The sequence below is a fragment of the Homo sapiens genome, chromosome 9 (assembly GCF_000001405.40).
Source record: "Homo sapiens chromosome 9, GRCh38.p14 Primary Assembly".
In the NCBI taxonomy this organism is placed as follows: domain Eukaryota; kingdom Metazoa; phylum Chordata; class Mammalia; order Primates; family Hominidae; genus Homo; species Homo sapiens.
Window position 1 is genome coordinate 15,752,327 of NC_000009.12, and position 27,838 is coordinate 15,780,164.

The window sequence follows — 27,838 nt, forward strand, 5'->3', positions numbered from 1 at the left end:
TAGAAGACAGTTTGGCAATTCCTCAAGGATCTAGAACTAGAAATACCATTTGACCCAAGCAATTCCACTTACTGGTATATACTGAAAGGATTGTAAATCATGCTACTATAAAGACACATGCACACATATGTTTATTGCGGCACCATAGCAAAGACTTGGAACCGACCTAATGTCCATCAATAATAGACTGGATAAAGAAAATGTGGCATATGTACACCATGGAATACTATGCAGCCACAAAAAGGATGAGTTCATGTCCTTTGCAGGGTCATGGATGAAGGTGGAAACCATCATTCTCAGCAAACTATCACAAGGACAGAAAACCAAACAGCGCATGTTCTCACTCATAAGTGGGAGTTGAACAGTGAGAACACACGGACACAGGGAGGAGAACATCACACACCAGGGCTTGTCGGGGGTGTGGGCTGGGAGAGGGATAGCATTAGGAGAAATACCTAATGTAAATGATGAATTGATGGGTGCAGCAAACCAACATGGCTCATATATACCTATATAACAAACCTGCACATTGTGTACATGTACCCCAGAACTTAAAGTACATATATAAAAAAAGAAAAAGGTGATTTATGTTACTAATATTCTTTGTAAGTATGACGCTTAAAAGTAGATTGGTTTCTTAAGCTATCTTCTTGTTTATGTTATTAATTTATTTAATGTATTTTTTCTTGTCACTGTGTTATGTATATATTCTAGGAGATAAAATAAAAATGTGTGAATTGGTCTGACGCTAATACGCACAGTTGTTAGAGAACAATAATGACAACTCATGAGCGACTTCAAGCAGAATGTAATTAAGGGTGAGATGAAGAGATACAGGCTTTTAATGCTACAAGAATCTACAGAAGGTGCTGCTCATTGTGGGCTTATGAGTATAGGGAAGACTTCAGGGAGGAGCTTGTGATTTAGCTAGACTTAGAATGATGGCAAGTTAGAGAGGAGAGATGGCATTCAGATGAAGGGCATGGTTAAGCAGAGATGCAGTTGTGGGAATAAACATAGAATGGAAGGAACAGACATTAAAAGGATGAGATTGAAAATCCGTGCCTAGCAGACCTGGCCTATAGATAGTGATTAATAAAGGATATTTTCCATTATTCATATCGGAAGAGAGATGTATCATTGGCATGGGGTCAAATTACAGAGGTTTTATAAAACTAGGCAGTAATTTCCTCTGAGCACATTACAAAAGTGGCCCCTTACAACACTTTCAATGTTAAAATATTGACACAATAATTAAGACCCTGATAAAGATATGCATAGGTAAGATTTATCAAGTAGAAGGTGGTGTCTTTACATGCTTGCCTAAGTCTAGGAGCAGAGGTGCCTTTGATATTAGATCTGGCTGTGCCTCTTACAGCTAGAGGAAATAGCAGGTTCAGGAAAACTTTTTTTTAGGGTAAGTTTTAAGTGTTTGTTCGCTAAGAAACACGACTTTGAGAAGAGTAAGTGATTGTTAATTAAAGCAAGAGAATTATTGATGTATCACAGTCATGAGGAATATTGGAAGGAATATGGTCCATACAGGTAGATAAAGGAATATTATTGGACTGACACAAAATTATCAGTGTGGACCCTCTCTGGATATAACTTGACCATCTGAGCTTTTAGAATAATTTCTTCAAACATGATGAGGGGTTTGTTTATATAATATTTTTCCAGGGTCATGTGTTTTCATTTTAAGTTATATTTTTGTAGTAGAAATTTCAGGTATTTTGACAGAAAGGATGGGAACATATTTTCAGAAAGTTAAAGCGTATGAGTAGTTATGAAGAGAGAATAATGACAGTAATAAATATAAAACCATAAGAGCTTATATAGTCATGTGGAGTTTCCAATTTAGCATATGAATAACCTAAACAGGTAAACATTATTGTATGGTAGAGAGAGCATTAGCTTTAAACAAAGCGGATTTGATTTTGTATCCAAATGTAGTTATCAGTTATCTAGTTATCAGTTGTGTGAAACTGGGCACGTTATTTAACTTTACTGGGTCTCAGATTCTTTGCCTATAAATGAAGATATTATCTTCCTCCTGGATGTTCCAAGGATTTAGTGAGATAATACTTTTTGAGCATTGTGTATAATACCTGGCAGTTGGTGGGTGGTAAAAAAATAGTTGTCACCTTATTACTCATCTCACTGTGAATGTAGAGTATAACATAAATGAGCACACATGCGCATACACACACACACCCCTTTATACATTTTCAGGCTACTAATTATTAATCTTCTATCCTAAAATTGCTAAGCTGCTCTACAGGGGAGGCAATACTTTAGGGTTAAGCAGGAATTCTGCCTGACTTTGAATACTGGTTCTGACACTAGCTGTGTGACCTTGGGCAAGTTATTTAAATCCTGTGTGCATCAATTTGTTTATATATAAAATGGGGAAAGTAGTTTTACCTATCTCATAGAGTTATTTAGAAGACTAAATGAATACATTTTTAAAGTGCTTAGAAGAGTCTTTGATTACTGGTTTGCTTGCTTTGCTTAGTTCATATATTGGTCATTATTAATATTTATTGCATTAACAGAATAATAAATAGATTTTGTAAAAAATAAGGTCAAATGAAAATACATTGGTTGATCTTAGAATTTCAAGGTAATTTAAATGTTATATGTAGCTATAAATTTTAAAAAGATGGTTCTGTTATAAATTAGTATATAAAGATCAAGGAGAAGTTTATTCTCTGAATAGGATGACATTGTATGTTTGAAAGAGGTTTGCCTTCTTTGTAATTATTGGATGACCCTACTTAAAATACCTTAATCAAATAGGAATTTTTCCTCCCAGATAATAGGAAGTCTAGAGGTAAGTAGAAATCTAGACTGGTTCTTTCTTCTCTGCTGTCCTTAACGTGTTCATGTTTGTGCCTCTTAGTTTTAAGCTGGCTACTCTACTTTCAGGCATTAGGATTGTGTTTTTGCAAGAAGGAAAAGGGAAGGGCAAAATGTGAAGGCATTCGTACATTGTTGGTAGGAATGAAAAGGATACAGATGCTTTGGAAAAGAGTCTGGAAGTTCATTAAAAAGTTAAGCATAGAGTTATCATATGAGCTAGCAATTCACTCCTAGGAATGTATCCAAGAGAAAGAGAAAGGAAAACATACATTCATACAAACACAAACCAATTCAAGTGTTTGTGAATTGGATACATTTGCAAATGTTCATAGCATCAGTACGCGTGAGTCAAAAAGTGAAAAGAAAACCCAGATGTCTATCAACTGATTAATGGATAGATATCTAAATGATGAAATATTATTAGTTCATAAAAAGGAATAAAGTACTGCTACATGCTATAATGTGAATGATCCCTGAAGACATTATGTAGTGAAAGAGGATGGTGACAAAAGATCACATATTGCATGATTCCATTTATTTGAAATGTCCAGAGTAGACACATCTAGAGATAGAAAGTAGATTAGTGATTGCCCAAGGCTGGAGTGAGGGTTAAGGGAGTATGGGAAGTGACTGCTAATGGATATAGAGTTTCTTTTGGGGTTGATAAAAATGTTTTAAAATTGGTTGTGGTTATAGTTGCACAACTCTGTGAGTATACTACAAAACATTGATTTGTATACTTTAAATGGGCAAACTGTATGATGTTTAATTATATCTCTAGAAAGCTGTTACAGATGTGAAGAGATGTGGCTGCTGAATATATTCCTTTATGTCAGGAAGGCAAAAGCTTTCCCATAAGCTTACCCAGCAGTTTTCTCTTCTTGTTTCATTGACTTGAACCTGAATCACATGGTTATTCCTGGCTGGCTAGCTAGAAGGTGGCAACAGAGAAGGGATATTTTGTAGATGGATCCACTAATCAACAAACTCAACATAGAGAGGATTTACTTTCTAAAAAGCAAATATCATTTATTACCTCCACATCTACTGCCCCACCCTACCATTACAAAGGAAAACTGGTCAATTCAGAAAACTTGAAAAAAATGAATTAGAAAAGAATAAAAATAACAGAAACAAAAAATATTTTTCTATCAGCTCACACAAGAATGGTTACTGTTATTTTTTCTTTTTTAATAATTTCAACTTTTATTTTAGATCAGGGAATACATGTGCAAATTTGTTATGTGGGTATATTGTGTGATGCTGAGGTTTGGGGTACGAATGATTCTGTCACCCAGGTAGTGAGCATAGTACCCAGTAGGCAGTTTTTCAGCCCTTACCCACCTCTTTCACTCCCTACTCTAGTAGTCCCCAGTGTCTGTTCCCATCTTTTTGTCCATGTATACCCAATGCTTAGCTCCCACTTATAAGTAAAAACATGCGGTATTTGCTTTTCTGTTCCTGTGTTAATTTGCTTAGGATAATGGCTAATAATGGTTTGGCTCTATGTCCCCACCCAAATCTCATCCTGAACTGTACTCCCATAATTCCGGCATGTTGTGGGAGAGACCTGGTGGGAGATAATTTAATCATGGGGGTGGTTTCCCACATACTGTTCTCATGGCAGTGAATAGGTCTTAACAAGATCTGATGGTTTGATAAGGGGAAACACATTCTGCTTCATTCTCCTTCTCTTTCTTTCTGCCACCATGTGAGATGTGCCTTTCACCTTCCACTGTAATTGTGAGGCCTCCTCAGCCATGTGGAACTATAAATCCAATAAACCTCTTTCTTTTGTAAATTGCTCAGTCTCGGGTATGTCTTTATCAGCAGTGTGAAAATGGACTAACTAATACAGTAAATTGGTACCAGTAGAGTGGGGCGTTGCTGAAAAGATACCTGAAAATGTGGAAAGATACCTGAAAATGTTTAAGCGACTTTGGAACTGGGTAACAGGCAGAGGTTGAAACAGTTTGGAGGGCTCAGAAGAAGACACGAAAATGTGGGAAAATTTGGAACTTCTTAGAGACTTACTGAATGGCTTTGCCCAAAAGTCTGATAGATATATGGACAATAAGGTCCAGGCTGAGGTGGTCTCAGATGGAGATGAGGAACTTGTAGGGTATTGGAGCAGAGGTGACTCTTGTTATGTTTTAGCAAATAGACTGGCGGTGTTTTGCCCCTGCCCTAGAGATTTGTGGAACTTTGAACTTGAGGGAGATGATTTAAGGTATCTGGTGGAAGAAATTTCTAAGCAGCAAAAGAGGTGACTTGGGTACTGTTAAAGGCATTTAGTTTTATAAGAGAAGCAGAGCATAAAAGTTCAGAGAATGTGCAGCCTGACAATGTGGTAGACAGAAAAACCAATTTTCTGAGGAGAAATTCAAGTGGGCTGCGGAAATTTGCTTAAGTAACAATTAGCTGAATCTCCAAGACAATGGGGAAATGTCTCCAGGTCACGTCAGAGGTCTTCACGGAAGCCCTTCCCATCACAGGCCCAGAGTCTTAGGAGAAAATGGTTTCATTGTCCAGTCCCAGGGTCCCCCGTGCTGTGGTCAGCCTAGGGGCTTGATGCCCTGCGTCCCAGCTGCTCCAGCTGTGGGGCTGAAAGGGGCCAACGTAGAGCTTGGTCCATGGCTTCAGAGGTGCAAGCCCCAAGCCTTGGCAACTTCCACATGGTGTTGAGCCTACGAGTGAACAGAAGTCAAGAATTAGGGTTTGGGAACCTCTGCCTAGATTTCAGAAGATGTATGGAAATGCCAGGATGCCCAGGCAGAAGTTTGCTACAGGGGTGGGGCTCTTATAGAGAACCTCTGCTAGGGTGGTGTGGAAGGGAAATGTGGGGTAGGAGCCCCCACACAGAGTCCCTACTGGGGCATCTGCCTAGTGGAGCTGTGAGAAGAGGGCCACCATCCTCCAGACCCCAGAATGGTAGATCCACTGACAGCTCGCACTGTTCACTTGGAAAAGCCACAGACACTCAATGCCAGCCCTTGAAAACAGCTGGAGGAAGGCTGTACCTTGCAAAGACACAGGGGTGGAGCTGCCCAAGACCATGGGAACCCACTTCTTGCATCAGCATGACCTGGATATGAGACCTGGAGTCAAAGGAGATCATTTTGGAGCTTTAACGTTTCACTGCCCTGCTGGATTTTGGACTTGCGTGGGGCCTGTAGCCCCTTTGTTTTGGCCAATTCCTCCCATTTGGAATGGCTGTATTTACCCAATGCCTGTACCTCCACTGTATCTAGGAAGTAACTAACTTGCTTTTGATTTTACAGGCTCATAGGTGGAAGGGACTTGCCTTGTCTCAGATGAGACTTTGGACTGTGGACTTTTGAGTTAATGCCGAAATGAGTTAAGACTTTGGGGGATGGTTGGGAAGGCATGATTGATTTTGAAATGTGAGGACATGAGATGTGGGAGGGAGTCAGGGTGGAATGATATGGATTGGCTGTGTCCCCACCCAAATCTCTGAATTGTACTCCCATATTTCCCATGTGTTGTGGGAGGGACCCAGTGGGAGATAATTGAATCATGGGGTTAGTTTCCCTCTTACTGTTCTCGTGGTAGTGAATAAGTCTCACAAGGTTTGATAGTTTGATAAGGGGAAGCCTGTTTTGCTTGAGTCTCATTTTCTCTCTTGCCACTGCCATGTGAGATACGCCTTTCATCTTCCACCATGATTGTGAGGCTTCCCCAGCCATGTGGAACTATAAGTGCAATAAACCTCTTTCTTTTGTAAATTGCCCAGTCTCGGGTATGTCTTTATCAGCAGTGTGAAAACAGACTAATACAGTGGCCTCCAGCTGCATCCATGTCGCTGCAAAGGATATGATTTCATTCTTTTTCATTGCTGTGTATTAGGAATAGTTACTGTTAACATTTGAATATGTTCTTCCAATGTATTTCGTCTCCCTCCCTCCCTCTCTCCAGCCTTCCTCCTTTCCTCCTATCCATCCACTAATAGACTAACAAGTGATATTGATAATATCATAGAGTACATAGGTTTATATCTTCATTTAAAATGTGATATAAAACTTACAGAAAAGTGGCAAGTACATAACAAAGAACTTTTCTTTTTGCTGAACAGTTTGAGAGCAGGTTGATAGTATGATGCTGTGTCACTCCCTCTTGTTTTAGTATGCATTTCAAAGACTGCATATTTTAGTGTGTATTTCACAGTTGCATTCTGGTTATTCTCCTGTATAACCAGAATGCAACTGTCAACATCAGGAAATCAACATGGATACATTACTGTCATTCAGATCCCATTAAACTTTCCCTAGTTGTCCCGACTATGTTCTTTATATAGCAGAAGGATCTAGTTTAGAATTATGTGTTGCATTTAGTCATGTTTTTTTAGTCTCCAGTATGGAAGAGTTCCTCAGTCTTTTCTTGCCCATGATCTTGGCCTTCTTGAAGATTGCAGGCTAGTTATTTGTAGAATATCCCTTAGTTTTGATTTGTCTGATGTTTCCTCATGATTAGATTCAGCTTGTGCATCTTTTGCAAGAAAACTCACAGAAGTGACACTGTACTTTGCTTATGATACAGTGTCATAACTTCATTTTTAAAAAAGCTTTACTTTTTGAGGGTTTTTCCATTTCTATTAATATTCTTTTAGAGAATGATTTTTAATTTCTGAGTAATATTTAATTATTTGTATATTCCATAATTTAACTGATTCATAGTAGGATATTTTCATCATAGGACAGGTAGCAGGAATATCAGTTTAGCTTTGATTTGTAATTGACTCATTGTCCTTTGAATCATGTTAAATTATGAGCAGTATCTTAATTATTTTAGCCAAGTAGGAAATAGAAATGACAGAATCTTGGGGAAATCTATTTAGTAAGTATTCTGAAAATTCTGAAGTGAAAGAAGATGTTTGTTATGAGGCAGAAGTATGTTTTTATCTTTTTGTACTTCTTGTTTTTTGTTTTTGAGAACTTGCTAAAAATTTAAGCCATTTTAAATATTGGGATTACAAATTAATAGCATCACTGACCCCTTTTCTTCTTAGCCCCAGGAAAACTGTGGTGCATGTATGCCAGTACTAAGCTTTTAATAATAACTGTATGGCTTTTCATATTATCTTTGTTCTAAGGTAAAAAACATTCAGTCTTTTTAAAGAGTAGGTTTTTATCTATTTAGAGTAAGTTCTGAATTATATGCATACTATTAATTAGGAAAGAAAATTTACTGTAAAACGTGTTGGATATACATTAAAGTATTGGTTAAGAACTTGGACTCTAGATTTGAATCTGGGTACCGTTGCTTACTATTTGTGTGTTATTGGGCAAATTACTTAATCTCATTTCAGCCTCAGTATCCTAATCTGTAAAATTTGGCTAATAAAATTTCCTAGCTTTTCTTTACATTAAGAAGAAATGTAACCTGCCTAGTGTTTGTAAATGTCCTGTAAATATTCATTGTTTTATTTCTTTCTTGTGCACTGATGTCTTAATGGGACCTGCATATTACTTTTTACCTTTTCATGAAACAGGAGGTTCAATAACAATAGCTTGAATTCAATGCGTAGAAAGTGCTAAAGGTGGCTGCCCCAGCTACCTTCCTAAACTTTGATGATGAACTTATAGAGAGTGGGCAAAGACCCCAGTTTTCATGTTGCCTCTGTAAATACTGGACAGGTGGCAACCTTCTTGCTTTCATTATAGTGTTTGCCCACTTGAGATAAATTACCTCTTCTCGGTATCCAAATGGTGTGCCTGCAAGAGATCATTTACCTCAAACAGGGGAGAATGTTACTTCCACTGAAGGGTTAGGATATCAATCATGATGGGAATGGACTAAAGAATTCTTTAGATAGCTGAACTTTTTGATATGACTGGTCGAGACTAAAATTCTCAAGATAGAAACAAATGTGCTGATTTGCTTTGAAATATCTCTGAACAAACACAGGAGTAGATGGACATAAGTAGAATGTTAACACATTTTGTCACACATTTCCTGTGTAATTACGTCTTAATTGTCTAGAAGATAGATGACCCAAATATACCCCTGCTAGTACAACTCAGAACTTTTTTTTATTGCGTACTTTGAGTTAACTTTCTAGAGGTCATAGCGACCCTTTCAAGCAAACTAAGCCTAGGTTGTGTTCAACTCAACATTGAGGTTTCATACTAAGGAAGTTCAAAGTGGTAAGAAAAGATACTGGTATTGATAAGCAGCTATTGGCATATATTTAAAAGTGCTGAGGCTTTATTGAATCTTAAAAAAATTATAAAAAGAATCTTGCTACTCCAAGTGTGGTCCATGGACCAAGGGCATTGTCATCAACTGGGAATGTGATACAAATGCATAATCTCAGACTCCACTCCAGACCTAATGTGCATTTTAACAAGATCCTCAGGTGACTAATATGCACAGTAAAGTTTGAGAAGAGACTTAGGGGATTTTATTATTTTGTTATTTTTATTTTGTTATTTAAAAAAAATTTTTTGTGTATGGGATTTTGTTATTTATATAACTTCACTCATATCTGGAACGGAAACAAGCACAATCTGACTGAGTATCGTTTCTGGTGCTTCAGCTGCTAGTCTCTATTTTGGGGAGCCACAATTTAACTTACAGATTTTTACAAATTTTGTGATTTCTTATATTATCACTTTCACATTTTGCCATATTTTTTCAAACATTTTATGAAAAAGTATAAGCATGTAGAAAAGTCAAAAGAGTTTTACAGTGAACAGATATTTTGTATTTTAAATTGAAATTTTATTTGCCTATCAATTTTTAAGAGCAATTTTCAAATGGATAATTCATCCTTGAAAGTGTTCACAACTATGCAAAATCTTACTTTCATGTCTTTTATAGAATATATTTTATAATGCAGATCTAAAATAATATACAAAATCAAAATAATTTTAGGAAGCATAGATGAGGCTTGAACACATTTTGTAGTTTATGGGTAATTTCTGGGCAACTTCTAAGAGCCTGAAGCTTTTTTTTTTTTTTTTTAAGAAAGCTAAGTTGGATATCCAGATACTGTCTAACAAAGCAACATAGTTATCTTTTCAGGTTTTTGTAAAAGAACAAAAAAAATCTTCCTTCAAATCTGTACTAAAATATTACAGATATATTTAGAAAAAATTTTTACCTCCTTTTCCAGAAAAAATATGGCAGCTTATAGGTATTTGCAAAATACAACATAATATTCATTAAAACCTAAGCAGGAAAAGGAGCAAATTCAAGCCAGGAATGACATTGAAAAAGTCAACTATGGTAGCCTACACACTTGTGTTCACATTTTGGTCTGAGGATTCAGTTGCCAATTATGTTATTAAAGAAAAATCACAATTTAGGAAAAAATACAAATGTTCCTTAGGCTAAGAGTAGATAGGAAACTGTTCTGCAGCTCTTAATAAAAAGGGATATCAAGTGATAGAATGAACAACATTCTCAGTAATATCAGACATAGGACTTTTTCTTTTAAGCCAAATGTATTGTGATACAATTTACATGCAATAAAATGTGCTTATTTGACTATAAAATTTGACTAGTTGTGAAAAATGTATACACTAGAATGTATACAAGAAAATGTATAGCACATTCTTTTCACCTGTTTTGGAGTCAGTCACCCCTGCTCCTACCTGGTCTAAGGCAACCACTGGTGTCTTCTCTGTCCCTTTAGTTTTTTCTGTTCAAGAATTTCATAAATTTTATAAAAATGGAGTCATACAGTGCAAAGGAGTGTAGCTGAACTGCACAGGTGGAGGGAACAGTTCCCAAAGGCTGTCCTCACTTCTGACACCACAAATTCAGGGGTCCCCAGGGCCACCCTCACTTCAGGCTAGCTGGCTACAAATTCGTGGTCCACATGGATTCCTTCAGGTTGGACAGTTTTCTAGAACAACTCATAGAACTCAGGAAACTGTTATATTTAGGATTACAGTTTTATTATAACAGAAGGAAACAAATTAGAATCAGCCAAAGGAAGAGACACATAGGGTGAAGTCTGGGATGGCTCCAAATGCGAAGCTTCTGTTGTCCTCAGGATGTGTTACCTTCCCAATATTGAGGTATGATAATATGCATGGAGTATGACCAACCCAGGAAGCTCACTGGAGTTTTGATGTCCAGAGTTCTTAATTGAAGCTTCATTATATAAGCATGATTGAATGGATCATGCTCCACATTGTTGACCTCAATATCTAGTTCTTTTCCTCTTCTTGAACATTGGGGTGATATCATATGATTCAAAGCCCCAACTTGCTAATCATATGGTTGGTGTTTCAGGCATGGCCAGCCCTTATCCAGAGTTAGCATAAACTATCAGATGCTCAACATGAGTCATATCATTACAAACTATCAGGTGTGGTCTGGGGCCACCACGAATACAAAAAACACTCTAATCACTCCAGAAATGCCAAGGTTTTAGAGGTTATCTCCCAGGAGCTGGGAAAATGGCCAGACTTCTCCTTAGGTGAGGCCAAATTTCTTACTACCCATACAATATATATTCTTATATATCTGGATTCATCTGCTCAGCATAATGTTTTTGAGATTCACCTGTATTACCTGTGACTGTAGTTTGTTCTTTTTCATTGCTGAGTAATATTTCATTCTATGATTATACCAAAGTTTGTTCATTCATTAACTTATTGATGGGCATTAGAGTTGTTTCTACTTTAGAGTATTATGAATAAATCTGATGTGAATATTCATATACATGTCTTTTGTTGGATGTATGTTTTTATTTCCTTCGAGTAGGTACTCAAAGGCTTGGAATTCTTGGGTTGTAAGCCTGTGTTTTGCTTGAAAAAATGAGCCATGCAAATATCTGAGGGGAAGCGGTGGTAGTTGGGGAAAGGACATTCTAAGCAGAGGAAACTGAAGTGCAGAAACCCTAACAAAGGAGTGTGCTTGATATTTTTAGGAATGGCAAGGAGGCCCAAGTGGCTGAACCAGAGTCAATAGTGGGAGAAAGGTGGAAGATGATGTCAGAGAGATAGCAAGGGCAGGGTTAACACCTGCACCCACATTATGCAAATCCTTGTAAACTATGGTAAGAACTTTAGATTTTATTCAGGATAAGATGGGATACCATCGGAAAGTTTTGAGTGGAAGAATGACAAGATGTGATTTAACGTTTTAAAAGATTATCTCTGACTTCTATCAGTAGTTAAAGGTGTAGGTAGTAAGGGTGCAGTGTTCTAAGATGAGGAACAATGGTAGCTTGGAATAGTATAACATCATTGGACTTGGTTATTGGCTAGAGTCTGGAAATATTTTGAAGATAGAGCTGATAGGGTTTGCTGATGTATGTTGAATGTGAGGTGTGAAAGAAAGATAGGAATCAAGAATGGCTTCAAGGCTTTTGTCTTGTGTAAATGGTAAATTGAAGCAAGAGTTACTGAAATGGGGAGATTAGAGAAGGAACAAGTAGGAAGAGAAAATCAAGAGTTTTTTTGACATGTTATGTCTGAGAAATATATTAGACTCGTAAGTGTCAAGGAGGTGGCTGGATATCTGAATTTGAGAAAAATGTCAAGACAGATAAAATTGTAAGTGCTCTCAGTATAAGTGTTATTTAAAGTCATGCTATTGGATGAAGTCATGTAGGGTAGTGATTTTAACCCTGGTTGTACATTAGAATTACCTGTGGAGCTTTTTAAAAATAGTGAAGCCTGCATTCCACCCAGATTTTGGCTGGGGTGGGACATAACTGCTTTGGGGAGTGAGTATAGCTAGAAGAGCTCTGAGGATTTGTGGACCTTTCAACATTTAGAGGTTAGGAAATGAGAAGGATATAGCAAAGGATTCTGAAGAATAGCCATTGAGCTAGTTGGTGAACCCTGATGGTAACCTTTAAGCCAAATAAAGTGTTTTACAAGTAGGAGTGTAATTAATCATGTGGAATGCTGCTGCTAAGGTGAATATGATGAGAATTGAAGAATCACTCCAAATTTGGCAAGATAGAGATAACTGATGACCTTGAAGGGACTGTTTTGATGGAGTAGTTGAGACAAAGTCCGACTGCAGTCTGTTAAAGAGAAAGTGAGTTCTGTTAAAGACAGTTTTTATGAAAGGCAAGCAGGTACATTGAGTTGGAGCAGGAGCAATATTTAGGGGTCAAGGGAGGTTTTTGTTTTAAGATGAGGGGTAATTCAATGTGTTTGTGTGGTAAGGGGAATGATTCAACGAATGAAAGAAAAAAAAATCTTGATAATGAGGGAAGGCACAATTGGCAGATGTCAAGTCTCTGAGTTGATGAAAGGGATGGGATCCAATGCACAGAAGTGGGGAGGAAGGTTGGCACAAACAGTTCAGGCATTGTAACAGGAGGGAAGGCAGAGTATATGGGTACAGTTGCAGGTAGGTTGGTAGATTTGGTAGTAGATGTATGTAAAAATTATTTTCTGCTTGCTACTATTTAGTGAAATAAGCAAGACTATCAATTGAGATGGAGGAAGGTGAGAAGATATTGGTTATTTGAGAAGCGGAGAAAATGAGAAATAGTCATTCAGGTGAGTGGGAGATTAAGTTCATCAGATGATCAGCTGCTTGGGTGTCAGGCCATAGGAGGTTTTTATTTAATCAGGGTGGGGGTTTGCCAGGTAAATACAATGGAAAGAAAGAGCAGCAAGGAACTTGAAAGTATATGCAAGAGTATAGTTATAATTGTTGGGAGAAAATTCTCCATAGGTCTTGTGTTTTTGCATATTTTGTGAGCAGAGGCACTGACGGCTTTCTTATTTATTTATTTATTAGCTATTTTTTCAGGGAAGTTTATGTAACGAACAGCCTCGGAAAATAAAGACAGTACCTCCCTCCAGAGCGGAGGACACGTTTGTTTACTTTCCAGTATAATGAAAATAATGTTTCCCTTGGGGAAAAGATTGAGCAGGTTTGTTTTCAGCCTATTATAAAAGATTTGGGCTTCCTAAGTTCTGGATTCCTCAGCTATGACACAAACCCATTACATGCACAGCATTAGCCTAGGTCACTCTGTGTCACCTCCATGGGACTTGGGGAGCAAGAGGAACTGTAGTGCATATGAAGCTCCTGCTGTCTCCTGTGCCGTGAGTGTTAAAGTCCCTTGTCTCTCACCCAGGAGTCTTGTGTTTTTTGCCAACATTCATGAAATTTGTTAGCTTGAAAATAAGGTGACCTCGAACTCCTGGGCTCAAGGGATCCTCCTGCCTCAGCCTCCTGTGTAGCTGGGATTATAGATGTATACCACCATGCTTGGCTTCAATTTTAATTTATATATATGTATATATATTTTTATTTTAGAAAATTATGATAGGATAGTAAGTTCCATATTGCAATAAATTAAGTAGCAGAAGGGCAATGGAAATATGAGATATTGGAGAAAACAAATAAGGCAGAATTTCTGATTGTTAAGGAAGAGCTTGTTCATGTATTTTAAAAATGTATTATGGTAAGGGCCAACTCTTCCTGGCATTTAGATTCTCTTAGTTACATTTATTTTTATTTTATTTTATATTTTTTGAGATAAGGGCTCTCTGTCTCTGTCACCCAGGCTGGAGTACAGTGGTGCAATCATAGCTCACTGCAGCTTCAAATTTCTGGGCCCAAGGGATCCTCCTGCCTGAGCCTCCTGAGTATCTAGGACTACAGATGTGTGCTACCACACTCAGCTGATTTCTAAGGTTTGTTTTTTGTAGAGATGGGAGTCTTACTATGTTGTCCAGACTAGTCTCAAACTCCCGGCCTCAAGCAATCCTTTTGCCTTGGCCTCACAAAGTACTAGGATTACAGGTGTGAGCCACTGCACCTGGTTTCTACTGGTTATATTTAAAGGAGGGATGTGTCAGTTTTTTTTAAAAATGCCAAAATTTACAGCATACCAGGAATGATATGCTTTACAACTGGTTAAAAATACATGACGAAAGTTTTTTTAGATGTAAACTTAAAAATGTGTGAGGGCATACATATCAGGTTCCTGTTATTGGGCTAACAAATTGTCACAATCTGTGGCTAAAGACCACACGAATTTATTATCGGATATTTCTGGAGATCAGATGTCTGAAATAGGTCTTATTGGGCCAAAATCAAGGTGTTGGCAGGGCTGTATTCCTTCCGGAGGCTGTAAGGGTGAATCTGATTCTTTTTGCAGCTTTTAGAAGCCATCTGCTTTCCTTAGTTTATAGCTCTTTATTCCATCTTCAAAGCCAGCAGCATCACATCTGCAAATCTCTCTCTGACTCTGACCTCTTCTTCTGTGTACCACTTTAAAGGACTCTTGTCATTATGTTGGGTCTACTTGAATAATCCAAGATAATCTTTGTATTTTAAAGTCCACTGATTAGCAAACTTCATTCCATCTACACCCTTAATTCTCTCTCGTTGTGTAACATAACACAGTCACAGGTTCCAGGGATTAGAATGTGGACATCTTTAGCGAGGTCATTATTCTTCCTACCACAGCATACATAGTTAAAAAAAATTACAGAGTACATTAGTGAGGACAGTTAAAGACCACTGTCCTGCCTTTGGTATTTGACATTGCTGATCACTTCCTTCTTCCAGATTCTTTTGATGCCCATGATATTACTCCTGTTTCTCCTCTTTTCATGTCCTTGGGCCTTTCTGTTCAGTGTTTGTGTGCCCTATGGGCTCTTTTTCTTTTTTCTTTTCTTTTCTTTCCCTCCTTCCCTTCCCTCTTTCCTTTCTTGGAGTAGGACTTTGACTATGGGTCTTTTCTTAGCCATTAAAAAAATTTTTTTAATTTTTAGTAGAGAAGGGGTTTCTCCATGTTGTCCAGGCTGGTCTTGAACTCCTGAGCTTAGGCAGTGCACCCACCTCGGTCTCCCAATGTGCTAGCATTCTAGGGGTGAGCCACTGCGCCCAGCCACTTAGCTATGTTTTTATTCCTTGTTGTCCCGAGCAGTCCCATGTATAGCCAGGGCTTTATTTACCATCTATGTGCTGATGGCTCCCAAATATTATCTGTAACCTAGACCTCATTCTTGAACTGAAAGCTTGTATACTTAGCTTCCTATGAGTTTCCTAAAAAAAAAAAACCCTAAAATTCAGCATATTCAAATTTTTACCCATTTTCTTAGGCCCAAAACTTCCTTCTGAAAACTGTCTTTGTAATTGACATGACCATCTGCCAAATAGTATCTAAAATAGAAACCTAGCAGTCACTGTAACATACTTTTATTCTTACTCTTATTCTCCATATTCTACATTTCTTATTGGGTTATTTTTTTATCCCAGCCCCATTGCTGTGGTCTTAGCTCATTTTTTACATGTGTTACTAACCTGCTAGTGGGTATCCACGAGCCCACTCTTAGACTGACCCACCCTTTCTCCCTGTCTCCCAGCCTTCCTTCATTTAGCAAAGTGATCATTTGGACGAGAGTTATTGAAATAATAAAGAAGTAGCATCAGTATATTGTAGAATATTCTAAAACATATAAAAGTATATAAGGAAGTAAATTTAAACCTCATGTAATCTCCTTATTAGAGAATATTAGTATTTAATTAGTATTTATATCGAGTTGTTTTTTGGATATTTCAGTATAATGGGGTCATTCTATAGATACATTATTTTAATTATTCTTTCCCCCTCACTTATTATTTTAAGTGGTTATAATAATGATATCATTTCATGGGGTTATAATGATGGTTAAATTGGTTAATGCATGTAAGCAGTGCTTGATGTGTCACCTATCTTCATCCGCAGTATCAGCAGCAATATTGTTCCTTGTTTCTTATTGCATGAATTAACACTTTAGCTAGATAAACAACACCCTTCATGACCAGATTCTCATCTGTTTGTACAGTCTCACCTCCCAATGCTGTCCATAATAAACCTGCAATTTAAGCCAATGGAACTGCTTATTATTCTTCAGAAGTGAGATGCTCTCTTATGTCTCCAGACATATGAGAAATAACGTTTCCTGGCACTAAACTTTAAAAGGAATTTATTACATGGATTATTGTATTAGAAATATTGAATAACATTGCAGTTTCTGTCTTTAAATGCAATTTCTTAGAAGATGCAGAAGTTTTTTTCTTGTCAGTAAAACTGAGAGCATGATAGTATATTGTCATTCTCTGACTGAAGTAGTCCAGGGATGTAGCTTTCTTGTTAATTTAAGTTGACAGAGAGAGAGGGTCAAGAATATAGATTTATGATTGGGTAGTATATTCCTTAAATAAGGGATCTCTTAACCAGGGGTTCATAGACCTCTTCTCAAAAGGGTCCATGGGTAGAATTCAGCAGAGCTGGGGGAACGGTCTGTGGACTTGAATGAGAAAAAAACATCTTGTTTCACTATCTGCCAACAGAATTTTGACAGTTCCTTCAATTATGAATGGTAACGATAGACCATGATAATATTAGCAGCATAGTGACTTTGGCGCTAATAGAAGTCACAGATATTTTTATATTGTAATACAGTTACTGCAGCTATCACACATGTAGTTTATGCTCATCTTAACTAATCAGTAATCATGAGAGTCATCACTTACATGGCAAGTCATCATAGTCTCCCCCGTACCAACGGATGCTGGTGCAGTGCAGCCGGCCAAGTGAAAGGACAACTCTGCATTTAGTTGTTCATCCATCAAAGTGAGGTTCTGTGTACTCTTTGTTTATGTTGCTTTTCAGTATTCTCTAAATACGAAATTCTCTGTTATTTTCTTTGAAATAGCAGCCTTAAGCCCTTGGAAAGACTTCAGAACTCCTTCAAAAGAGTTACTGAAGTTACTTCTATCTAAATAGCATAAAATTTGAACCATGGATTCATAGTTCTTTCCTTTCCAATACAAATTGCATTGAATATGTTGACCTAGCCAAAGATGAACTCATTGACTTTAGGACAAAAAAACTTACCACACTAGATTTTGGATTTAAAAGCCTTGGAGAATTCTGGTATTTTTTGTGAGAAGCCCTCCACTATGTTGTAAAACGAACTATCGAAGCTTTAATTATATTTGTAGCAGTAAATACTATATTTGTAAATCAGGACTTTTATCACTTTTAAATATATTAAAAAACTTGATGTCCAACATGACATGTATGATGCCTTGTTGAAGACCACCCAAAAAGTTCAATGTTCTTATTTGGTTTATGCAAAAACTTTCACTATGCTATGTCTTCTAAAAAACTATCTTTATCTATATTTGAAATGTCCTGTCTTGTACTTAATGGATTAGTAATCAAACTTAAAATATTTTGAAAACTATATTACAGAAAAATTAGTTTCCTTTGTAATCCCACATCTCTTGATTTATGGATTTAAAATGATTATTCTTAGAAGGGGAGCCATAGGTTCCACCAGACTGCCAAAGGTATCTACAGTACAAATGTATCATTTGTCTAAAATGATAACAGAAGTATCATTTGTCTAAATCAGAATATGTTTCTGGATATTCTTATTTGGGGGCATTTGTATAATAATAAATAATACAATATAAATGGGAGTTATTGATTCTTAATCAGTGTTACATGTCCCCTCTCTCCATTGTCCAACACAATTCCCTTATACATATGAGCTATTCTATAGCTAGCTGTTTAATGAATGAGTAAGGTAGTGAGTAAGATAGTGCATGGTGCTTTTAAAAATAGTTTTGTTATTTCTGTGAAAATGCTTATACCCAGCGTAAAACCTTCACACAATACAGAAACCTGCACAGAAAGTAAAAATCACTCAAAGGGTCACCTCCAACCATTCTTAACATTTTGATGATCTCTACGAGTATCCCATACATGTGTACAAATATAATCACACACACACAGTTTTACATGAGGGAATCATATAATCATGCTTCATTGTAATTATTTTTACTCCCACTCAATGGATAATGAATATTTTTTAATATCAATAAAATAAATCTATATCATTAATTGTATTTAGTTACATACTAGTTGCACTGTATATATCTACTGTAATTTACTCAGCAAATTTCCTTTTGATGAGTATTTATTTTTTCTTATTTTTTTCGCCATTTTAAGCAATATTGTAATCAGCCATACTATAGTTAATATGCGTGTATATAAAATCATCTTATACTTGTGCAGTTATTTCTTGGGCTAAATTCATGAGAAATGGGATTGTATATTTTACATTTAGAAAGTACTATCAGTATTCTTTACATTGTTCTTTCATGAACAGTGTTGACCGTTCTGGTTTTCTCATAACACCTTTGGCATGCAAAATTTTGATAATCTCTTTGACCTTTATCAATGTAAAAGGCAAAAGACATTATATTATTACTTATTTGTATTCTTTGATTGGTAGTTAGGTTGCACATCTTTTCATTTGTTATAAGCCCATTCATATTCTACAAATGATCATACTATGATCATATTTGGGGGTGTGTGTTTGTGTCTTATGGAATTATAAAAGCTCCTTGTGTATCATGTATATTAACACTTTATCATAGTGCAAATAATTTTGCAGCTTGTGTTTTAATTTTGCTTGTGATATTTTTATATAGTTTAAAATTATTAATCATTTATTTCTGTTTTTTGTTATGGTAAGTTACTGAGAAAGGCTAGCCTTACCTCAAGGTAGTATTGCTCATATTTTAGTAGAATACTTTCGATACATTAAATCTTGAGTTTATCTGGAATTATTTTTCCTGTAAATAGTGAATAAATGATTAAACTATTTTTGCAGCCAGATGACCAGGTAGCTTTTTTGGGGGGACGGGCGGGGCAGAGGCTGTCTCTGTTGCCCAGGCTGGATTGCTATGGCCAGTCTCAGTTCACTGCAACCTCTGCCTCCCGGGTTCAAGTGATTATTGTGCCTCAGCCTCCGGAGTAGCTGGGATTACAGGCATGTGCCACCACATTCAGCTAATTTTTTGTATTTTTAGTAGTGACGGGGTTTCTCTGTGTTGGCCAGGCTGGTCTCCAACTCCTGACCTCAAGTAATCTGCCAGCCTTGGCCACCCAAAGTGCTGGGATTACAGGCATAATTCACCACGCCTGGCCTGCACCAGTATTTTTAAATTCTGTAATCCATCTTTTCCCTGATTAAGATATGCCATTAATAACACGTTAAATTATTGTTTAAGTTCGTGGATCGATCTATTTCCTGTATTTCCAGTTTACTCCATTAGTTTCCACCTCTCTTCTAGTACCAGTATCATACTGCGTTTTTCATGAATGTATATCTGTGTGTTTTACAGTAAGACAAATTCGCTTACTACTTTTTTTTTTGTCGTTTTCTGGGCTGTTTTGCCCAGTGATTTTTAGATAAAACATTGCTTTGAAGCAAACATCTTACTATAGTGTTTGCCTCCACAGTTTGAAAAATGATGTCTATATTCACGTTTCTCAAATTATTAGCAGTTTGGAACACAAGCATAATTTTTACTCAGAGGGAATGCTTTAAGATTGTGATATATTGGGGTCACTTAAAAGGAGTTGCATATAAAGAAAGTTGCATATAAATAGTGAAAGATGTTCCTGTGAAAGTAAGTAGGGACCAGATGTGTAGGACTTTTGAGCCATGTTTTAAGGAGTTTAAAATCCATTCTTAGATGAGAAGAAAGTTATTGAGGCATAAAAGCAGGCAGTGTGATGAGATCCTAGTTGTGTGTTACGAGTTATTCTATCTACTTTGTGGAGAATGGATTGAAGAGCGGGAAGACTAGAGAAGAGTGCGTCTTAGATATGGCCATGACTACAGAGAAAATGGAATAAATTGGAGAAATACTAAGAACAAGAAATGGGAATATGGCAAGGGAAATGGAGATGTCAGGGTTGACAAAATGTTACCAAGTGTGTAGAACTGAGGTGGAATTAAATTTAGTTAACAATACTCATTATTAATATTATTAACCTTATTATTAACATTACTCATTATTACAATATTAGTAATTATTTTTGCTACTATTATACTCATTACTAACATTATTTTAAACGTTACTAATTATTACCTTTTTTGGTTAAAGGAATATTTCTCAATCTTTGAGTATGAGGACTTCATTTTAATAAGAAAAAATGTTGTAGATTGCTCTCTCTTCCACATAATAGATGTATTTTGAGTAGCAGTTGATTTATGTAATGTTTTCAAGGGACTTTTAATTTGATTACTCACAATATCATTATTATTCACGCATATATTTTGTTAGGGCTAGATAAAGATCAAAATGCACAATGGTTACTGCAGCTAAAAGTAGTGGAACTGTTGCAATAACTTTTCAATGTCCTTCCTTCCCCACCTCATCAAGATCTGCAGCCCACAGATTTAGAACTACAGGTCGAAACAATTCTTTATGAATTTGTTTTGAAGATTTTAGCCCTAGATGTACATTTTTCCCCCTTCTATTGGAAAAAGTAATTTCAGAATATAGGGTTCACTTCTTTCATTAAAGACACATTTTATTAAATAGGAAGAAAGTGATTAACAAATGTATTTAACATAAGAATTTGTTAAATGTAACAAGCCAAACATTTACAACAGTCTAGACAAGTATACATGAGGAACTTTAGTGACGTTTTTCCTCTTATTTCTGTATTATTATATAAATAATTTTACAACTGTATCACTAGAGGATTTTTTTTTGTTTTTTCATTTATTTAATATAGAATGAATTGCACTCTGACCCAAAAGAAATGCAAGAAAAACAAAGATAAATAGAGGGGGCATAATTAAACTAAAAAGCTTCTGCACAGCCAAAGAAATAAGCAGCAGAGTTAATAGACAACCCACAGAGTGGGAGAAAAATCTTCACAATCTATACATCCGACAAAGGACTAATATCCAGAATCTACAAAGAACTCAAACAAATCAGCAAGAACAAAACAATCTGATTAGGCCAGGTGCGGTGGCTCACGCCTGTAATCCCAGCACTTTGGGAGGCTGAGGTGGGTGGATCACTTGAGGTCAGGATTTCAAGACCAGTCTGGTCAACGTGGTGAAACCCTGTCTCTACTAAAAATATAAAAATTAGCTGGGTGTGGTGGTGGGCATCTGTAACCCCAGCTACTCGGGAGGCTGAAGTGAGAGAATCACTTGAACCCAGGTGGCATAGGTTGCAGTGACCCGAGATCTCATCATTGCACTCCAGCCTGGGTGACAGAGCAAGACGCTGTCTTTAAAAAAAAAAAAAAAAAAAAAAAAAAAAAAAGTCATCAGAAAGTAGGCTAAGGACGTGAATAGACAATTCTCAAAAGATATGCAAGTAGCCAATAAGCAGATGGAAAAGTGCTCAACATCACTAAGATCGGGAAATGTAAATCAAAACCATGATGCCATTACTGCCTCACTCCTGCAAGAATGGCCATAATAAAAAAAAATAAAAAATCATAGATGTTGGCATGGATGCAGTGAAAAGGGAACACTTTACACTGTTTGTGGGAATGTAAACTAGTACAACCACTATGGAAAACAGTGTGGAGATTCATTAAAGAACTAAAAGTAAATCTACAGTTTGATCCAGCAGTCTCACTACTACATATCTACTCAGAGGAAAAGATGTCGTTATACAAAAAAGATACTTGCACACGCATGTTGATAGCAGTACAATTTGCAATTGCAAAAGTGCGGAACCAGCTCAGATGCCCATCAATCAACAAGTGGGTAAAGAAAATTGGTATCTATATACCATGGAATACTACTCAGCCACAAAAAGGAACGAAATAATGGCATTTGTAGCAACCTGGATTGAATTGGAGACCATTATTCTAAGTGAAGTAACTCAGGAATGGAAAACCAAACATGGTATGTTCTCACTCATATGTGGGAGCTAAGCTATGAGGATGCAAAGGCATAAGAATGATACATTGTACTTTGGGGACTCAGGGGAAAGGGTGAGGGGTGACGAGGGATAAAAGACTACACATTGGGTGCAGTGTACACTGCTTGGGTGATGGGTGCACCAGAATTTCGGAAATCACCACTAAAATATTTATTCATGTAACCAAACACCACCTGTTCCTCCAAAACCTATTGAAATAAAAAAAATTGCCCTCTGTACTGTATAATGTGAACTATATTGTAAAAACACTTCTTATTATAGCATACATTATTTAGTGCTCTTACTGTAATTCATTGAGAGTCGGCAGTTAGGAACTTAGAGCATATGACTTTCACTTCTTAAAAATTTAGAAGAATGCATTGCAGAATTATATTGTCATTTAGTATCACCCTTCAGATCAGTCAGTGTCTACACAAACATTTCTGTGACAAAGTAAAAAACCTTATTTGTTTGTTTATTTATTTATTCCTTTTTTAAGACAGAGTCTCGCTCTGTTGCCCTCCCGAGTTCAAGGGATTCTCCTGCCTCAGCCTCCTGAGTAGCTGGGATTACAGGCACGTGCCACCACGCCCGGCTAATTTTTTGTATTTTTAGTAGAGACAAGGTTTCACTGTTTTAGCCAGGATGGTCTCGATCTCCTGACCTCGTGATCTGCCTGCCTTAGCCTCCCAAAGTGCTGGGATTACAGGAGTGAGCCACTGTGACCGGCCTATTTATTAAAATTTAATTACAATTAATTTGTGCTTTTAAAGGCTCTTTATCTGTGAAAAATTTTTTTGTATCCTGAAATTTCCTAAAATAATGAACTTTTGTATTGTTTATTTAAAAACAAGAACCTTTGACATAGCTTAAGAGTTAACATTAATTTCTCTTAGTATTCTTGTGTTCAGCATTGTTGCAGTAGCTATGGAAATAAAAAGAAATATAATTTAACAAACATGTAAAAAATACCCATGTATGCTGGGCTGGCCCAGTGAAGATAAAAAGAGTTTGTTAAGATGAAAAAAGACACAGATAAATAATTGCAAGGTAGTTGGAGAAACAGGGAATACATATATATATTAGGTATTGAAATGATAAATTGAATATTATAGACAAAATAAATTTTACTGTTCTTTCATTCAACAGTGGCCTATTTAATTCACATAGTACTTTAGTAAATTCCTTTAACTCAGTGTTCTGTGTTATATATTGATTGCCATATAAAGCTACTTAGTTCTTTTTCATCCATTGTTTTCTTTTTATTTATTTATTTATTTTGTATTATTATTATAAAAACATGGAACGCTTCACAAACTTGCGTGTCATCCTTGCGCAGGGCCATGCTAATCTTCTCTGTATCGTTCCAATTTTAGTATATGTGCTGCCGAAGCGAGCACTTCATCCGTTATTTATTTAAGGAATATGATTGTTAACAAAAGGACTGTGTATTTTCATTATACTTTGTCTTTTTTCCATGGGACTGTCACAGAGTATGTTTATAATGAGTGGCATATAGAATTAAACTTATATTACCGTATATTTATATTCCTAGAAGTTGATGCATCAATAACTGATTGAAATAAATTTTACCTGGAGGATATTATGCTTTTATTCACTTTATTTCCAATTTATGTATAACTCCTAAGCAAGATCATTTTCAAATTCTGGCTGCTACATAGATTTTAAAATTTGTCTGTCCTTTAAACATTGAGGAATAAAATAAGTAGAATGAAGCTCAAATTTTATAACAGTGTCTCCATGAGACAGTTCTTTATGCCATAGAAAACCATTGGTTGATTACCGTCTCAGTCAATGTTGCTCTTCAGTTGTTGAATTATATGTATTCTTATAAGGATAAAACATTTTTAATTTGGTAAGACTAGCTGAATTTGCTTTTTGTGCTTATGATGTAAAGACAAGATTTAAATTAACACCAACAGCAGAGGCTCTTAAAAATGTAGAATGTTATACTATGAATTTAAATAATCTTTCTGTGCTTGTCATTTTACATTGATAGTATCATAAGACAAGTAATGACAGATTAAGACCTACCTAGCAGAGGGAAAACTAAATTACATGGCTTTATTAAGGCGTAAATAAACCTATTAACCATTATCTGGAATACCAATTAGTAGAAAGAGCACTGACAATTTTATTTATCAACATTAAACACAATTATTAATTACAGACCTGATGAATCTAGCAGTAAGCAGGCCATGTTGGATATGCTGGGACCTTAAGTCCATTATATGAGAAGGATGATTACCAAAATCCTGTGGGGAAATAAGTAATTGTAGTTGTAAAATTTTAATTGCCTTGGAATAAGGCAAATTATATTTTCTTGTCTGAGAATATAAATAGTATGGCATGAAGGTAACAAGCTTTGGCAGTTGTAAATAGAAAATGGATTTATGTTAGGTTTTAAAACAAAGAAAAGAGTGATGAATTTTTAGTGTCATGCTATTCCATGTGAATGGCATACTGTAAATACATGCAGATTTTTTTTGATGTATTCTTTAGTAGGTGAGCTATTCTCTGAATTCCTTTTTTTCATAGTGAAAATAATGTGGGAAGGACCTTTTTGAATGAATTACTACAGGTGAATGGGAATTATATAATTAAAAAATATTTTCATTATGTGATTAGCAGTGTTGTGAAATGCACAAGAGACAATTCACATTTTTGTGCCTTTTTTTCTTTTTCTTTGAAGATCCAAATTCCAGAATTTGTGGACATTTACTCATAGGTGCAGCCAAGAATTCTTTTGCAAAACTCATGGATAAAATTAGTCTGGTAATGGAATGTATACCTCTGCACAGTAGCAGGAGTATTACATATGTAGAAAAAGATTCCCTGGTTCAGAGGCTGGCCCATGGACTTCATAAAGTAAACACACTGGCCCTGAAATATGGTTTGCGTGGCCATGTGCCCATTACGGTATGTATACACTTTCATTTAGTAGTAACCTAAGAACTTGTAGGTTTAATTTTGAATTAGCCTAATTTGTAGTTTAAATTATTAGTTGTACATGAATGTATCTGGATTTTCTTTATAGTTCATGTAAAATTTTAATACACTAAATTACTTCCAAATAAGTGTCCAAAATATCTAAATACAAAAATCACTGGCCGGGCGCGGTGGCTCACGCCTGTAATCCCAGCACTTTGGGAGGCCGAGGCGGGTGGATCATGAGGTCAGGAGATCGAGACCATCCTGGCTAACAAGGTGAAACCCCGTCTCTACTAAAAATACAAAAAATTAGCCCGGCGCGGTGGCGGGCGCCTGTAGTCCCAGCTACTCGGGAGGCTGAGGCAGGAGAATGGCGTGAACCCGGGAAGCGGAGCTTGCAGTGAGCCGAGATTGCGCCACTGCAGTCCGCAGTCTGCCGCAGTCTGGCCTGGGCGACAGAGCGAGACTCCGTCTCAAAAAAAAAAAAAAAAAAAAAAAAAAAAAAAAAAAAAATCACTGGCCAGGCGCGGTGGCTGATGCCTGTAATCCCAGTACTTTGGGAGGCCAAGGCAGGTGGATCACCTGAGGTCAGGAGTTCAAGAACAGCCTGGCCAACATGGTGAAACCCCGCCTCTACCAAAAATACAAAAATGAGCCAGGGGTGGTGGTGGGTGCCTCATGCCTCTAATCCCAGCTACTCAGGAGGCTGAGGCATGAGAATCGCTTGAACTCGGGAGGTGGAGGTTGTAGTGAGACGAGATTGTGCCACTGTACTCCAGCCTGGCCTACAGAGTAAGACTGTCTCAAAAAAAAAAAAAAAAAAAAAAGGCATGACATTAGTGCTAAATTTAATGTTCTCTATAAATGCACTGCAACAGAATTGTATGAGACCTAAACAGCTGTCAATTTCATTTTTAGCTATCTAGATTATTTCTTTTCTCCAGATGTTCATTTTTCATAAGCCAAATTATTGGTCACATAAAAAATAAAGTTTTCACCTCTACATTTCTGTAATAGCTAGCACTGGTTTTTGGATAATCTAAGTTACATTTAATTTAGTAAAATGGTTATTGCTATTGTTAGTAAATCTGTAGTTACTGTTTATAAAATTGCTCTTGTTTAACAACAGAAAAGCACAGCATCGTTGCAGAAGCAAATACTTGGATTTACACAAAGACTGCATGCTGCAGAAGTGGAGCGCCGCTCACTACGCTTAGAGGTCACAGAATTCAAACGAAGTGTGAATGAAATGAAAAAGGAGCTTGACAAAGCCCAGGGTCTGCAAATGCAATTAAATGAATTTAAGCAGTCTGTAAGTATATATCATTTAGGAAACTGTTGCTTTGCTGATATATATTTCTTTATCTCTATATCCTTTTTTCCTTAACTTTTGTTATGTGTGGTTTTTCAAATAATTCAAAAGCCTATTAATAACATCTCTTTTTCTTCAGAAAACTTCCTGTCTAAAATGCCTCTAATTGCTGATGTTGGTGGCAGGCGGGGGAGTGGGGAGAGAGATTTCCTCTCTTCTTTTTTTTTGAGATGGAGTCTCACTCTGTTGCCCAGGCTGGAGTGCAGTGGCACTATCTCAGCTCACTGCAACCTCTGCCCCCCGGGTTCAAGTGATTCTCTTGCCTCAGCCTCCCAAGCAGCTGGGATTACAGGTGGCTGCCACCACGCCTGGCTAATTTTTGTATTTTTAGTAGAGATGGAATTTCTCCATGTTGGCCGGGGTGTTCTCGAACTCCTGACCTCAGCTGATCTGCCCACCTCAGCCTCCCAAAGTGCTGGGATTACAGGTGTGAGCCACTGCACCTGGCCTCTTCTCTTCTTATATTGAATATTTTGAGTAAATTAGATTATGTAGTATGAAATCAAATTGCTTTTCCAAAGAAATGTTCAATTTATCTAACGTCCATCAATGACTTATATGTATTATTTTAAAAAGCAGAAAATAGCTGAAAAAGCACAGTCGTATGCCAAATACCATTAGATCAAGAACAAAATGTCTAACTGTGTGAAGCACAATATAATGCAGACATCCACATATTCTGTTTGCAGTTGGGATAGTTATTAACATTGCTGTTTTTAATGTGGATATGGGAACATAGAGTTAAAAGATTACCCTGAAACTTCAAGACTGTACAACTTAAAACAGCTACTATAACTTCAGTTTAAATGTGCTTTTATCTTTTGATTAATTTGGAATTTACAGTTTTAACATTTGCAGTAACAGAGGCAGCAGCAGGTGTAGTAGTTTAGTTATTAATCCTATGATAATGTAATTGTGCTAGTGTTAATTATTATTTCAAGTAGATACACCTTC

General features: G+C 36.6%; 1 protein-coding gene and 1 pseudogene across 35 annotated transcripts in view; one reads left to right on the top strand and one right to left on the bottom strand.

The window, feature by feature from the left end:
• The window catches only part of CCDC171 (coiled-coil domain containing 171), a 556,042-nt gene that overhangs the window by 199,442 nt on the left and 328,762 nt on the right, over window positions 1–27,838 (top strand). For all 35 annotated transcript variants that reach the window (XR_007061261.1, XR_001746227.3, XR_001746228.3 and 32 more), the window contains 2 exons: window positions 25,274–25,500; window positions 26,642–26,824. Coding sequence is in view for 30 of the 35 variants with exons in the window: in XM_047422930.1 (XP_047278886.1) it covers window positions 25,274–25,500; window positions 26,642–26,824 (410 nt within the window). In the remaining 5 variants the exon portion in view is untranslated. The remainder of the gene's footprint in view (window positions 1–25,273; window positions 25,501–26,641; window positions 26,825–27,838) is intronic.
• On the bottom strand, window positions 23,856–23,960 carry RNU6-14P (RNA, U6 small nuclear 14, pseudogene; annotated as a pseudogene).